The sequence below is a fragment of the Homo sapiens genome, chromosome 9 (assembly GCF_000001405.40).
Source record: "Homo sapiens chromosome 9, GRCh38.p14 Primary Assembly".
Lineage (NCBI taxonomy): Eukaryota > Metazoa > Chordata > Mammalia > Primates > Hominidae > Homo > Homo sapiens.
Window position 1 is genome coordinate 134,992,060 of NC_000009.12, and position 14,042 is coordinate 135,006,101.

The window sequence follows — 14,042 nt, forward strand, 5'->3', positions numbered from 1 at the left end:
GAGACTGAACGCAGGTGGAGGATCTAATGCACCCTCTGCAACTGGGCATGCTGGGGAAGGGCTGGGAGGGAGGCCCCCTGAGACGGAGGGTCTCCCAGAAGGAGGAAAAATCCCCTGCAGAGGGTCTCCCGGAAGGAGGAAGGGGCTCCCCGGTGGAGGGTCTCCAGGAAGGAGGAAGAGGCCACCCCACGGAGGGTCTCCCGGAAGGAGGAAGGACCCCCCTCCCCGCGGAGGGTCTCCAGGAAGGAGGGAGCGCCCCCCGGCGGAGGGTCTCCCGGAAGGAGGAAGGCCCCCCGGCGGAGGGTCTCCCGGAAGGAGGAAGGCCCCAGAAGGCGAGGGAGCCCCCCGCCCCGGCAGAGGGTCTCCCGGAAGGAGGAAGAGGCCCCCCCCCACGGAGGGTCTCCCGGAAGGAGGAAAAAGTCCCTGCAGAGGGTCTCCTGGAAGGAGGAAGGGCCCCCCCCCCCCCCGCCGCGGACGGTCTCTGGGAAGGTGGGGCTCCAGTTCTAAGTACCGTTGTCACCAAGTGAACATCCTTACAGATTTCTAGCAAAATGCTGCTCAGACCCCTTTCCGAGGCCGCATGGCCTAATCGTCCTCGGAGAGACTGACTGACTTTATCGGGTGCTCGCGGAGTGCCAGACACGGCTTTCATTACATTCGGTCCTTGTGGGGGCCTGTCAGGTGGGCGGCACAGATGCTGCAGTTTCATGGGTGACGATATTGAAGCACAGAGGAGTCAGGTCACCCGTTCAAGGTCACACATGGAGTAGGAGGCAGGGCCCTCACCACCACCTCGCCAGGGGCCTCATTGTGAACTCGGAAAGGGCCCCACCCCTCCAGCGACTCCGAAACCCGTGGAGCTTCCCTCTGTGAAATCCTGATCGAGGGCTTTGCTCCCAGTGCGCGCCAGGCCCTCTGCCAGGCGGAAAAACATTTCCTGCTCTGAGCTCATCTTAGTCTCCTGGGCGGGCGAGGCTTTGGTGCCCTCCGGGAGTGCCGACCCACCCACGTTCCGGATCAGCGAAACAAACTCGGCGTCTGCACTGGCTTCCCGTCATCCGAGCAGTACAGCCAAGAAGTGCTCTCAAAAGGTACAAATTAAATTCCTCTGTCGCAAGGAAGTGCAAGCGGAGCTTTGCTTTAGCTGTCATTTTGCCATTTCATCTGGAGCTTTCAAACCCCAAATCCATAGCTCTGGACGTGTCCCAGGCATCTCTCTAGAGTTTATTTACAGCCCCAAACTTTTAATTATGAGCATCTTCAAAAATACTGAGACATGGGCAGGATCAAAAATACTGGGACATGGGCAGGATCAAAAATACTGGGACATGGGCAGGAGAGTATAAAGATTTCCTTATGTCCTTGTCGCCCAGCGGCAACACAGCCTCGTCAGTATCTTTTCCTCGCACAGCTCTCATGTCTTGCGGAAAGGTTCAGGTGTTGGTCATCTGTCAGGTCAGTGTGACCTGCCTGCAGGGGGGATCCATGCAGACTGGGGATGGGGGTGGCTTTGGGAGCAGAGGGACTCTGGCCAGTGTCTCTGCTTTTTCACTGTGTGACCCCGGGCAGATACGTCAACGTCTCTGGACTTCAGTCCCCTGAAGCAAAATCACAATAATGAGAATCCGCTCCCAGGCCTGCCATGAACGCGAAGTAGCCCATAAACAGCAGCTCTGTGCGTGTGTGGACGAGAAAGTGAACGCGAGAGCTCTGCAGACCTCAATCTCACGCCCGCAAGGATTTGCCAATGGCTGCTTAGAAAGCTGTGCTTACCCTGGGCCTCAATGCAGCTGATCACTTGGGGCAGTGGCACAGCAGGAACAGGGAGGGAAGCCCTTATCCCCAGCAGCCACAAGAGTGGAGGCAAAACTTCATACCCACCTTAGCTTCCCAATTCCCCTGGCTGTCCTCCCAGCCTAGTTTTTAAATATCTGAATCTTAAGCGTGCACCTAGGAGTAATCTTAATAAATCGCATCCCTCCCTGAAGGTCCGTCTGCTCTGCTCCTTCATTGAGGTCTCCCCTGGCAAGCCACCACAGTTATTCGGATTCACATTACTAAGACGCAGCAAGCCTCATGGCGACTGAGCCCCTAAATCTGGAGGCGGGGACTGAGGACACAGCCCAGCTGCAGGTGTGGGTGTAAGGGTGGCGTGAGTCCATCCTGGGAAGGATGTGTCTGCCCCAGGCTCAGAGTGCTGAGACTCTAGGGAGCTATGTACCTTCTTGCAGGGAGTCTGTAGGCATCTCCTTCTGCAAGGGTGATATTTCTGGCCCTTTACAATGAGCGGTGCCTGGGGGCTGGAGGAGAGAACTTAGGGCAGGAGACAGATGCTCCTGCCATGTTTGCCACCCTCCCCCACTTGCCACCATCCCCCATCACCCTGCGAGATGAACTCTGGGCTAAAGCAGGAGGGACGACCCCCCTCACCCTGACAGTCATCCTGGGAGGGTCACAGTCCTCATCTGACAGCCAAGGAAAGTGGCTCCCAGGGGCACGGGGCTTACCAGGGCCACCTGCATAGGGGACAGCAGAGGTGGGGCCAGAGGCAAGGCCGGCTGACCCCAGAGCTCAGCTCCTAGACACCACCTCTCAAAGGTCTTGGAACACAGCTTAGAAAAAAGGCATCCTGGCATCTCGCGGGGTCTAAGCCACCCCTTGGGAACCAGGTGTGGCCCAAAGCTTCATAGCACAGGTGTCCTCACATGAGACTAAGTGGACTTTGCAGGATGCAACCCTGGTGAGTGTGGCACAGCGTCTCCAAAGAACCTTCCCTCCTTTCCTCTTCCATCTCTCTGTCACCTCCCTCCCACCTCTCCTTCCCCCCAACAAATTCTTACTGAGCACCTGCTGGGCATGCTGTGTTAGGCTCCAAGGGAATACAAAATTGCCAAAAAATAGTCTCAATCTTTGGGAAGCTCCACAAATTCATTTGCCTATTCATTGGCACCACAGATGCTCTCCAGGCCCCCATGGGCCAGGGACAGTGCCAAGTGAATGGGATCCTTGCTCTTGCAGGGCTGGCATTCCCAAGCAAGAGGCCGACACTAAGGACTCGGGCATAAACACACACACGTGCGGTGGGGGCCATGCTTGCATGCCTGAACAAGAACTGGGCTGGAATTAGCAGAAAGTTAGGCTTGAACAAAATAAAAGGACTTGGTTAGACCAGGTCTGATCCTCATCTAACAAAGGGGATGAGGTTAATAAACTGAAGACAAGCCTTGCGACTAAGGAAGGACAAGGCCTGCCTGGGAAGGGCCCTGATGGGACCTGGTTCCCCGACCCCGACTCACAGGTGCAATACCATGCACCAGGGTCCCAGAGTTGCTGCAAGCAGTGAATAAAATTCCCTGCTGATGAAGAGCTACGGCCAGCGTCTGGCCCATAGGAATTGCCCAGCAGACGTTGGGTGAGTCTGCACCGGCAAAGCCAGCTCTCCAGAGTCACCATTAACGTGGTCACTTTCTCACGGCCTGGGAGGGTGTGAGTCTGACGTGGTGACGTGGGCCACATTCGCGAGGATCAGCCTTGGGTCAGAGTGAGGTCTACTCCTTTCTTCAGGGCAGCAGCCCCCTTTCCTCTGCCAGCACCACCAGAATCTGAGCAGCCTGGCAAAGGCATACACAGGCTGCGGGCACTCTCTAGGGTGGACGCCAAGGCTTCTTACTGGTCCTCCTCTTGTAACTTTATTGCAGTAACTTTGGAGAGAGAAAAAATGGAGCTGCTAACGTTTGCAAAATTCATCGCAAACAGTATTAGATGGCACTGATTAAAATGACTCATTCTGCAAGGAACTAAGCCAAATCAATCGTTTTTTTAGCAAATTAAAGCCATTCCTTCACTCAGCAGCCTGCGCTTTGGGTAGCAGATGGAGCGGATGAGCCTGCCCAGGTGTCTGTCCCCGCAGGGGCTTGGCACACTTGGGCGGGCTAGGCCACCTTCTGAGCTGATCAATAAGCAGGTCTTAGGCCCGGTTCAGAGGGTCTCCTCGTGGCCTTGCCCCAGGAGAGGACAGCCCTGATCATTCAACACTTCACGCGCTCATTTTTTAATCACCCTGTTCCTAATTGAGCCCAAAGACTTGCGACCTTTGCATAAGAATGGTTTACTGAATCCCTACTATGAGCCAGGCACATGGTGAAGGAGCCACACTGGGGAGATGGGATGGGAGGGTCAGGGGACGGAAGGAATGGAAATGGGGTGGGGGAAGAAACAATAGCAAGTAAACAAATGTGGAAGAAGGTGACTTCCCAAGGTTGGGATGCCCAGAAGACTGTGTGTCAGGTTGCCATGAAAGGACTTCAGGGGCTTTAGATGGCAGGGTCGCTGAACAGGTGACTGCAGTGGAGATCTTCGTACTGGTCAGTGGAATAGTGGAGGCAGGGCCAGGCAGGGGACTGGAAGAAGAGCCGGGCATCTTTGGGGAAGGGAGTGCTCAGGAGGGGCCCAGGCAGTCAGTGGGGCCAGGACAGCTGGTGTAGCCCCCTCTTCTGGGCAGTGTAAGGAGCTTGGATCTCCCTGAGTGTAGCTGGAGCCTTCAGCAGGTGCTGGGGATGGGCAGACTGGACCTGAGCGCTGCTTCAGGTGCTCCGTCGGCCTGCACTGTGTGGACTGGATGGGGCAAGGACACCAGAGCTCAACCCTGTCCTGGCTGTTCAGCAACAGGACAGTGGCTGGGAGAGAGTGTTGGCTGGAGGGAGGGAGGACTCATGCCAGAGACATCCTGGAGGGGGCAGGAGACAACGCTGGCTGTAGGCGGAGGAAGAGGGAAGGACTCAGGTCCCTGTCTCAGCAGCTGCGAGGTGGAGGATGCTAGGCGAGGGGCTGCCCTTGTGCCCACCAAGAAGCGTGGCAGCAGGCACAGCTGCGGCGTCCGATGGGCAGGTGAACACATGTGCCGGTGTTCTGTGGGAGCTCAGGGCTGGAGACAGACACTGGGAGCCACTGGCCCAGAGACGACGTTCTGAAGCCTCTTATGGCCAGAGGTAGGGAGAGAAAAGGAGGGGAGTGCTGGGCTGGGCACCTTCACAGCAGGTGAGTGGGAGAGTGTGGAGGGAGCACCTAGAGGGGAGAGGAGTCCAGAGCATGTGGGTGTGAAGTCTGGAGAGCATGACACATCCTGTGAAGATGGCGGGGAGCAGGGGCTAAGCTCAGGCCTGTGAAGATGGCGGGGAGCAGGGGCTGAGCTCAGGCCTGGCCAGAGGGCGGTCACTGCACGGCTTGCCAGGGCAGTGTGGAGGCTGAGGGAATGGAAGGCCAGCCACAGCCCTTGGTGAGTCTGATCTGCCACCTGACGAAGGTGGGCACAAGACCCTCAGCCAGCAGCACCCTCCTGGAGGTGGAGCCTCACCTGGCTTTGCTGTACTCACGACACTCACGCCCCAGCCGTGTCCCAGAGCAGAGGGGACAGCAAAGCAGGGAGGTTGAGGGGAGCAGGGCGTGCACCAGGCATCAAGGCTTTCCGGGAGTCTGTGGCCTGGGAAGGAGAGGACAGCCTCTGGAGAGGAAGCATAAGCATCCACAGCATCAGATGACTCAGGACTTCATGGGCCTTGCTGAAGAGCTTTGAGTAAGTGAGCCCCACATTTCCAGTGGGTCTGTCTGCTTGGCAGTATAAAATATATTATATATGTTTTGTCCACTGTAAAGTAACATGTCTCTTCATCATGGAAAAGATTGGAAAATACCATGGTGGGCTGAATACCGTTCCCCAAGATGTCCAGGTCCTGATGCCCAGAACTAGTGCATCCCAGAACCTGTGACACCTCCCCTCTACATGGTAGAGGGGCTTTTCAAATGTGCCGAAGTTGGGGATCTGGAGACAGGAGATGATTCTCCATAATTGCGGTGAGCACAAGCCATCAGAAGTGTCCTCAGGAAAGGGAGGCAGGGAGTCCAAGTTCATAGCAGGTGTGTGGGAGAAGCAGAGATTGCAGTGATGTGCTTCAAAAGCGGAGGAAGAATCCAAAGACCAAGGAATGAAGGGAGTTCCAGAAGCTAAAAAGGAAGGAGACAAACTCTCCCCAGAACGTGCAGAAGGAAGCAGCCCCACCAGCGCCCTGACCCTAGACTCTGAGCTCAAGAACTGTAAGAGAGGGCATTTCTGCTGTGTGAAGCTGCTAACAGTGGCAGAAAACTAAGACAGATACCAAAATGTACAAGGAGTGGGGTATAATCACTAGTTGCCTTCCACCCAGCCTTTCATCCCCACAGAGTTCTTTTTTAAGTACTTAAGACGGGGCAATTGTATAGCCTGCATTCTTCACCAGACTTTTACAGTGAGTATCCCCATGGTGTTAGCATCACTTTGTGGAGTCCTAATAAGATAAGCAACAATGAGGAAGGGGTCCAGGTCTGGGAGAACAATAGTCCTGAGAAGCAGCTACTGCAAACCACCCACTGGCAAAACAACCTGTTCACAAAAGCCTTGCTCCACCTAGCTTCAGCAGCATGGCCCTATCAAACCTCCCCCTAGCTTCTGCCTCTTTGCAGATAGCCCCTTCTCGCTGTGCTGCCCATTGCATTCTTGCAATGTGTTTTCCTACTTTCTCTAATAATCTGCCTTTTTCTACCTACAACTGTCTTGGTAAATTCCTTCACAGCCCACAACAATGGCCTGATCTACTCACACCTATGACATTTTGGTGACCCAGGGAGTGCTTGGGGACAGCTCAGGAAGTGCCTGGAGACTGCTCCCCTACTCTCTCCCTTTCCTCTCCTCCAACTCCAGACTCTTAATGGACAGCACCCAAACCTAGAGACAATTGGAGGTGCCAGTCAGGGCCACTCCTTGGCAGACCAGGATGTCCCGGTGGAAAGATGTCTGACCATTGTTACCCAATCTGGTGAGAGTCTAGAGTTTTGCTTTCCTTTTCCATCTTCAAGAAGACAAAGTCTAGTATTCTTCTGGCAATTGATGGCAACTGGCCAGGGCCACTCCCTGTTGTAGCCTAAAGGCCAGGAGGTGAACAGGTCTGGCTGCCTTGCCCAGAAGGGACGAAGGCCGTCTCCTGTCCTTTCTGGTCAAAAGTTCCCCACTCCCTACAGGTAGCATGATGGGCAGTGGAAGCTCAATGAAAGTGAACCTACACACATTTTGGGGAACTCAGACCCCTTCTTTCTCCCTGTCAATTCTCCAGTGAAGGCAGCTAGCCATCCTACTCAGGCATTTTAAGCCAGATGATCCCAAACAGCACCTGAATGGTGAGTCTTCCCTCAACCCCTTCCCCTCATACCTGGATGAAGCACCCAGCATAACTCATACCTGGGCTGGCTACCTAGTGTAATTCATACTTGAAGTGACCTGGGGCCATTCACCCAGTGTTCATCCAATGTCAGGCACTAGTGCTGGGAGATCTTTTCCAATAGGATGGATGCCCCCTTTGGAAAGTGCATCTCAGAGGCCCTCTGTGGACATGAGGGGAGCCCTTTTCCCTTGGTGGGATGCCCCAGGAGAAACTGTGGTTTGTGTCCCCACTGGATGTTCTTCCCAGTCCCATGAGCCCCTCCATTCCCTCAGACTCACCCCAGGGCTGCATTTTAGAGCATTGGGGTAAATTAGACCCTTAGACTCTCAAAAACAAATATCTAATTTTTGTGGTCCCTATGCAGGAAATCCTCAAATTCACCCCCTCAGTCTTTTATAACTAACAGCAGATTAAAGAAAACAGGGTTAAGAGAAAAAAAAAAGAACTCAAGAACAAGAGGCAGGCTCAGCTGCTGGCTGCTTTCTAGTCCCCAGCCCACACCAGGTTGACCTAAGAACACTCCTCCAGATAACGGCCATTGGTGTGGGAAACCAGACCACTAGAAGGCAAACTGCCCCAATGGGATAAATGGGGAAAAGCCCCACAGAGCTTGTCCCCTCTGACCCAAGCTCGGCCACTGGAAATGGGACTGCCCTGAGGGCCGCAGGGCTCCTGGGATGGAATCCCCACCTCTGATGGCCTTGAGCTGAAGGGGTTTCTGCCCTGGCTGGCTTCCAAATCAGACACTCACCAACAAGACAAAGCCCAGGGCAACTCTGGAGGCAGCAAGTAAAATGATAAATTTCCCTTTTGGGTTCAAAAACTGCCTACTCTGTGCTAACCTCCTTCTCTAAGCTACTCTCCTCCAAATCCAGTCAGATAATGGGAGCAAATGACAACCCCTCCCTCCAAAGGAAAAATTCACACCCATTTATATTATTAATACTTAAAAGACCAGTGCCCATTCTCCCACCAGTCCCTGGTAATGTCAACATACCTTACACCTCTCTGGGGCAAAAATATACTTTCAAAGATGAGGACATGCTTAATATTTACCCAACCTCTAAATTCATCTTTCTCTCTAATAGCCCTGTTTGTCCCTGGAAAGCTACCTAAACCTTTAACCAATAACTTCAACCTAGAGAGTCCCACCTCAGGGGTTTAAGAATATTCCACACTTACTCAGACAAGCCCTAGCAAGAAGTCTAATGGAGCAGTCTCTTGAGGGGAATAACTTCTACGGTGTGGGGACATCCTCTCCATCTGCTTCCCCTTCGCAGATACACACAGTAACAGGCAGCACAAACCCCAGCTTCCTAACAGAAGAAAAACGACTTTGTCTCATTCAAAGGCTATAAAGGTAAAGAGGTATTTGTGGTAAGGAAGGTTATGAGAAAGAGATTTTATATGAAGAAGAATCTTGTATGGTAAATTCTTGTCCTAAGTAAAATGACTGGTTGTTTAAGAAAGAGGGATGTTTAGGACAACTCAGAAAGTTCAAGCATGCTGTAGATGGTCTGTGTAAGTTTAAAATTTGTGAAAGGAAATATATAAAAGAAATGTTGTATGTAATTGCGGTCTAATAGTCTCTGTGAAATTGGTTCCCTATGCTGTGTCTAATTAAATTCAAACATTTTTTATGGGGCTTAACTTCCAGGTTACCTAAATGAACTTCCAATAAGAAAAAACAGTCACACAGCAAAAGGTTTTTCTTTACCTTTTGGTAAACAAAAGCAACAAAATTTAAGAAAATTTCTTGGCTTAAGAAACAAAAAAATTTGTTGTCAAAAATTCAGCAGTTTCACCTTCAAATGGTGCTGCAAACGTGATGTCAGTCTTTTCCCAATGATGCCTGCTACCTTTATGAGTCTCCCCTGGATTCAGCTGGACACCAGCTCTGGTGGGATCAGCATCTGCAGCACCCCTTGTGAGAACAACAGGTGTGGTGGCTGAGTCGTGCCCCAGACATGGTCACCTGGAGCCTGTGACTGTGACCTTATTTGGGAAACAAAAAAACAAAAAAGTCTTTGCAGACATAATTAAGTAAAGGGTCTCAAGATAAGATCATCCTGGATTAGCCAGCTTGGCCCCCAATTCAATGACAATCGTCCTTATGAGACACAGGGAGTGGCAGAGAGACCACCTGGAGACACCAGTGGAGGGGTCAAGAGGCCACTTGAAGATGAAGACAGAGATGGAAGTGACACAGCCACAAGCCAAAACTGTCTGGGGCCACCAAAGACTGGAAGAGGCAGGAAGAATCCTCCCCAGATCCCCAGGCAGGTGGCCCTGCCAGCACCTTAGCTTTCAGCTTCTGGATTGTGAGAGGGTACACTTCTGCTGATGGATGTCCCTCAGCATTGAGCTGCTAGCCTCAGGGCTGGGGAAGGGCACTTCTGTGGTTGGACATCCCTCAGAGTTGAGCTGCTGGTCTCAGGGCCAGGAGAGGACACTCCTGCTGTTGGACGTCCTTCAGCATTGAGCTGCTGGCCTCAGAGCTAAGAGAGGGCACTTCTGCTGTTGGACATCCATCAGCGTTGAGCTTCTGGCCTCAGGGCTGGGAGAAGACACTTCTGCCATTGGATGTCACCAGTTTGTGGTCTTTTGTTGTGGCAGCCCCAGGGAACTCATGGGAGGAGGGAGCAAGACCCGGAGGATGGGCGCTCCAGGCAATAAAAGTACTGTGTATCAGTCCTTTCTCACATTGCTATAAAGAATACCAGAGACTGGGTGTTTTACAAAGAAAACGGTTTAATTGGCTCATGGTTCTGCAGGCTGTACAGGAAGCATGGTAGCTTCTGGGGAGGCCTCAGGAAACTTCTAATCATGGCGGAAGGCCAAGGAGAAGCAGGTGCATCCCATGTTCTGAGCAGGAGCAAGACACAGAGGGGGAGGTGCCACACACTTTTAAATGACCAGATCTCACGAGAACTCACTCACTATCACAAGGACAGCACCAAGAGGAGGGTGCTAAACCATTCTTGAGAAATACACCCCCATGATACAGTCACCTCCCACCAGGCCCCATCTTCAACACTGGGGATTGCAGTTTGAAGGGAGATTTGGGTGGGACACAGGTCCAAAGTGGATCAGACCTTCACAACTTTTCTAGAATCTGGGCTCTCCAAAAGCTCCCAGAAAGAGGACGAGCTTGGACTTTTCTCTGTGTCCACCTCCCTGTCTGCCCCTTGGCTTGGTCCCCTCCCATGTGGCTATCGACACAGTCTCTGGACAGGATTGGGGTACACCAGCCTGGGGAGGAGGTCCCACCCGCGCAGCAAGTGGGGCCTGAGCTTGGATGGAAACAGCTGCCTCCCCTCTTCCCTGGAGACTGAGGCCCAGGCAGAAGGAGCTTGAGAACAGACCACCCTGTGGTCAGCTGACAGTCAACGCAGAGTTGCTGCTGTCAAACGTTGAGAATGTTACAACTAAGGAAGTAATTTCCCCAGAGATGCTTCCTGTCGAGCAGTGTATTTAATAATTTGTTATTCTGAAGCTTCTACAAGATTTACTCGATGAAATCACCATTGAGAATAGTTTTAAATCCACACATTCACAGGAAAATTTTGAAGCTTCCAAAGTATTAAAATGAAGAAGTGAAGTTTCACAGTTCGCCTCAGATGACACCCGTCCCCTCCCATATTCAATTAACCACATGTCCCCAACAACTCAGAGTGTGCAGCGAGGACACAGCTGAGATTAATTTTGCATGAGGCATTGGACTGTAAAGGATTTTTCTATTTACTTATGTAACTTGTACATAAAAGATGATCATATTTAATCAAATACAGACCAACTACAAATTATGCTGGATAAACAGTGTGAAAAAATTCAATATGCTAGTGACTGTTTATATACACATACATATATATGATTGATATATATTTAAGAGTAGCAATCCAACCCATTATGAACCCTGTGTGGAATAGTTACACAGCGGTGCCCCTGTATCTGCAGTTTCCTTTTCCAAAGTTTCTATTACCCCAGGTAAACTGAGATCTGAAGATAGGTGGGCACAGTACGAGAGGGAGAGACCACATTCACATAACTTTTACCATGGTATATTGTTATAATTGTTCTGTTTTATTATTAGTTACTGCTGTTAATCTCTTACTGTGCCTAATGTATAAATCAAACTTTATCATAAGCATGTATGTATAGCAAATAACATCGTATATATGAGCACTGGTACCATCTGTGATTTCGGGTGGTCTCAGGGAGTCATGGAATGTATTTCCCATGGATAGGAAGGAACTACTGTACATTTTCCTGTTTTCAAGGTGTTTACCTGGGGTTTAGAAAAATACTTAAAAGCTATTACTATCCAGGATATGTTGCAGCAGGCTTTTTTATTTTTATTTTTATTTTTTGAGATGGCATTTCACTCTTGTTGCCCAGGCTGGAGTGCAATGGTGCGATCTCGGCTCACTATAACCTCTGCCTCCTGGGTTCAAGTGATTCTCTTGCCTCAGCCTCCTGAGTAGCTGGGATTACAGGCTCACAGGTGCCCGCCACCATGCTGGGCTATTTTTTGTACTTTTAGTAGAGACGGGGTTTCACCATGTTGGCCAGGCTGGTCTCGAACTCCTGACCTCAGGTGACCCACCCTCCTCGGCCTCCCAGAGTGCTGGGATTACAGGGGTGAGCCACCATGCCCAGCCCAGGCTTTCTTTTTAATTACATCCCTACTAACTTCAGCTATGCAGAGTTTCTGGGAAGAAACTCTCACAACCTCCCTGAAAGGGAGGACTGCAGTTTGTTTTCATCTTTGCCTCTCTAGCCTCTAACACAATGGTTTCTCAAACAGCCGAGACTTCCCCCCGCCCCAGGAGACATTTGGCAATATCTGGAGATGTTTTTGGTTGTCATAATTTCTGCTGGCATCTGGTAGGTGGAAGCCAGAGATGCTGCTAAACAACAAATTATCTGGTCCCAAAATGTCAGTAGGGCCACAGTAGAGAAGCCTGTCCTAACACAGTGTCCGATGCTGGTGCCCACTCAGGGCACGTTTGAGGAAGGAACACAAGCCTTGAGCCACAGCTCTATGTACCTGCTATTCCCATTGCCTGGAAGATCTTTCCCTCTTCCCTTCTATTTTAGCAAATTCCCTTTTCTCTTTTAAGACACAGACTCAATATCACCTTCAGGGACAGCCCCTCTCTACACCAGAGCTGGGATCCTCTCCAGGAAGCCCCAGGGCTCCTAGGGCTCCATACCCACGGTGATGCCAGCACTTACCCCACGACACTTGCTGGCTGGGCTAGTGCTGGGCTATAGTCTGCTCCCCAGTGGCTCATGAAGCCCACAGGAGACACAAACGCCATCTTGTTTATTTCTGTTTTCCAGAAGCTGGTACAAGGCCTAGAGCCTAGTTGGTTCTGGATAAATGTTTGCTTTAGATAGCTGACTGGATGGGTGGATGAGTGAATGGATGGATGGGTGGGTGGGTGGGTGGATGGATGGATGGATGGATGGATGGATGAATGGATGAGTGGATGGATGGATGAGTGGATGGATGGACAAGTGGATGGATGGATGGATGGATGGATATTTTGGTAAATGAATGGATAAATGAGTGAATAATGGATGGAGGGATGGATGGATGGATGAATTAATAGACATTTTGTAAATAAATGAATGGATAGATGAATGAATGGGTGGATGGAGGGATGGATGGGTGGGTGGATGGATGAATGGATGGGTGGAGAAGTGGGTGGATGGATGGGTGGATATATAAGTAGATGATAGATAGATAGATAGATAGATAGATAGATAGATAGATAGTAAGTCACGAGACCTGACTACAGTCTTTCATTTGCCCCATCATATCCGCTATATGACTCTTGAAAGGTCAAGTAGACTCTCTGGGATTGCTTCCCCAGAGAGAATGCAATGATTTGAGAGAGCAATGGTTTCTTTTCAAACTGTGTTGTGAGGCTCTTAAGAATTCCTGTTGTTGTTTTTTTTTCGATATTTTTATTTCTCCAAATTTGTTACTTATCAGGAGTGATTTGAAATAAAAAAATATAATTAAGTCTCATCATGATCATCATGGAAATAGCTTTAAGAGAAAACTGGGCCAGGCGTGGTGGCTCACGCCTGTAATCCCAGCACTTTGGAGGCTGAGGTGGGTGGATCACTAGAGGTCAGGAATTTGAGACCAGCCTGGCCAACATGGTGAAACCCCATCTCTACTAAAAATACAAAAATTAGCTGGGCATGGTTGTGGGCACCTGTAATCCCAACTACTTGGGAGGCTGAGGCAGGAGAATCACTTGAACCCAGGAGGTGGATTTTGCAGTGAGCAAAGATCATGCCATTGCACTCCAGCCTGGGTGACAGAGGGAGACTTCATCTCAAAAAAAAAAAAAGAGAGAGAGAGAGAGAAACTGGTCAGATGAATATTATTGCTTCCCATTTTCAACCAGTAAACTGTTGCCACTGATAAATTGACAGCCAGGAGTCTGTCAGGAATGCTCAAGCAATGTTATGTGATACAACACACCGGTCCACAGGCAGAATAAATCCTAGGAAATATGGCCCTGGGGCTGCCATAGGGAATGTCTTGGATACCTAAGAGAATGGTTGCCAGATAAAAGATAGTTACATTTAAATTTCAGAAAAACAACACTAATTTTTTAGTCTATGTTCTAAATATTGTGTGGGGCATGCTTATACTAAAAAAAAATTACTTGTTGTTTATCTGAAATTGAAATTTAACTGGGCGTCCTGCAATTTTACTTCCTACATCTGGTGATGCTACCTGAGATGGGAGGGGAGGAGAAAGTGAAT

At 50.5% G+C, this 14,042-nt stretch overlaps 1 long non-coding RNA gene across 1 annotated transcript; it reads left to right on the forward strand.

The window, feature by feature from the left end:
* The first annotated feature begins 230 nt into the window (after positions 1-230).
* LOC124902303 (uncharacterized) lies at positions 231-1,987 on the forward strand. The gene is made up of 2 exons (XR_007061847.1): positions 231-1,091; positions 1,570-1,987. It is a non-coding gene; the product is annotated as an uncharacterized LOC124902303 (long non-coding RNA).
* The last annotated feature ends 12,055 nt before the right edge of the window (positions 1,988-14,042 follow it).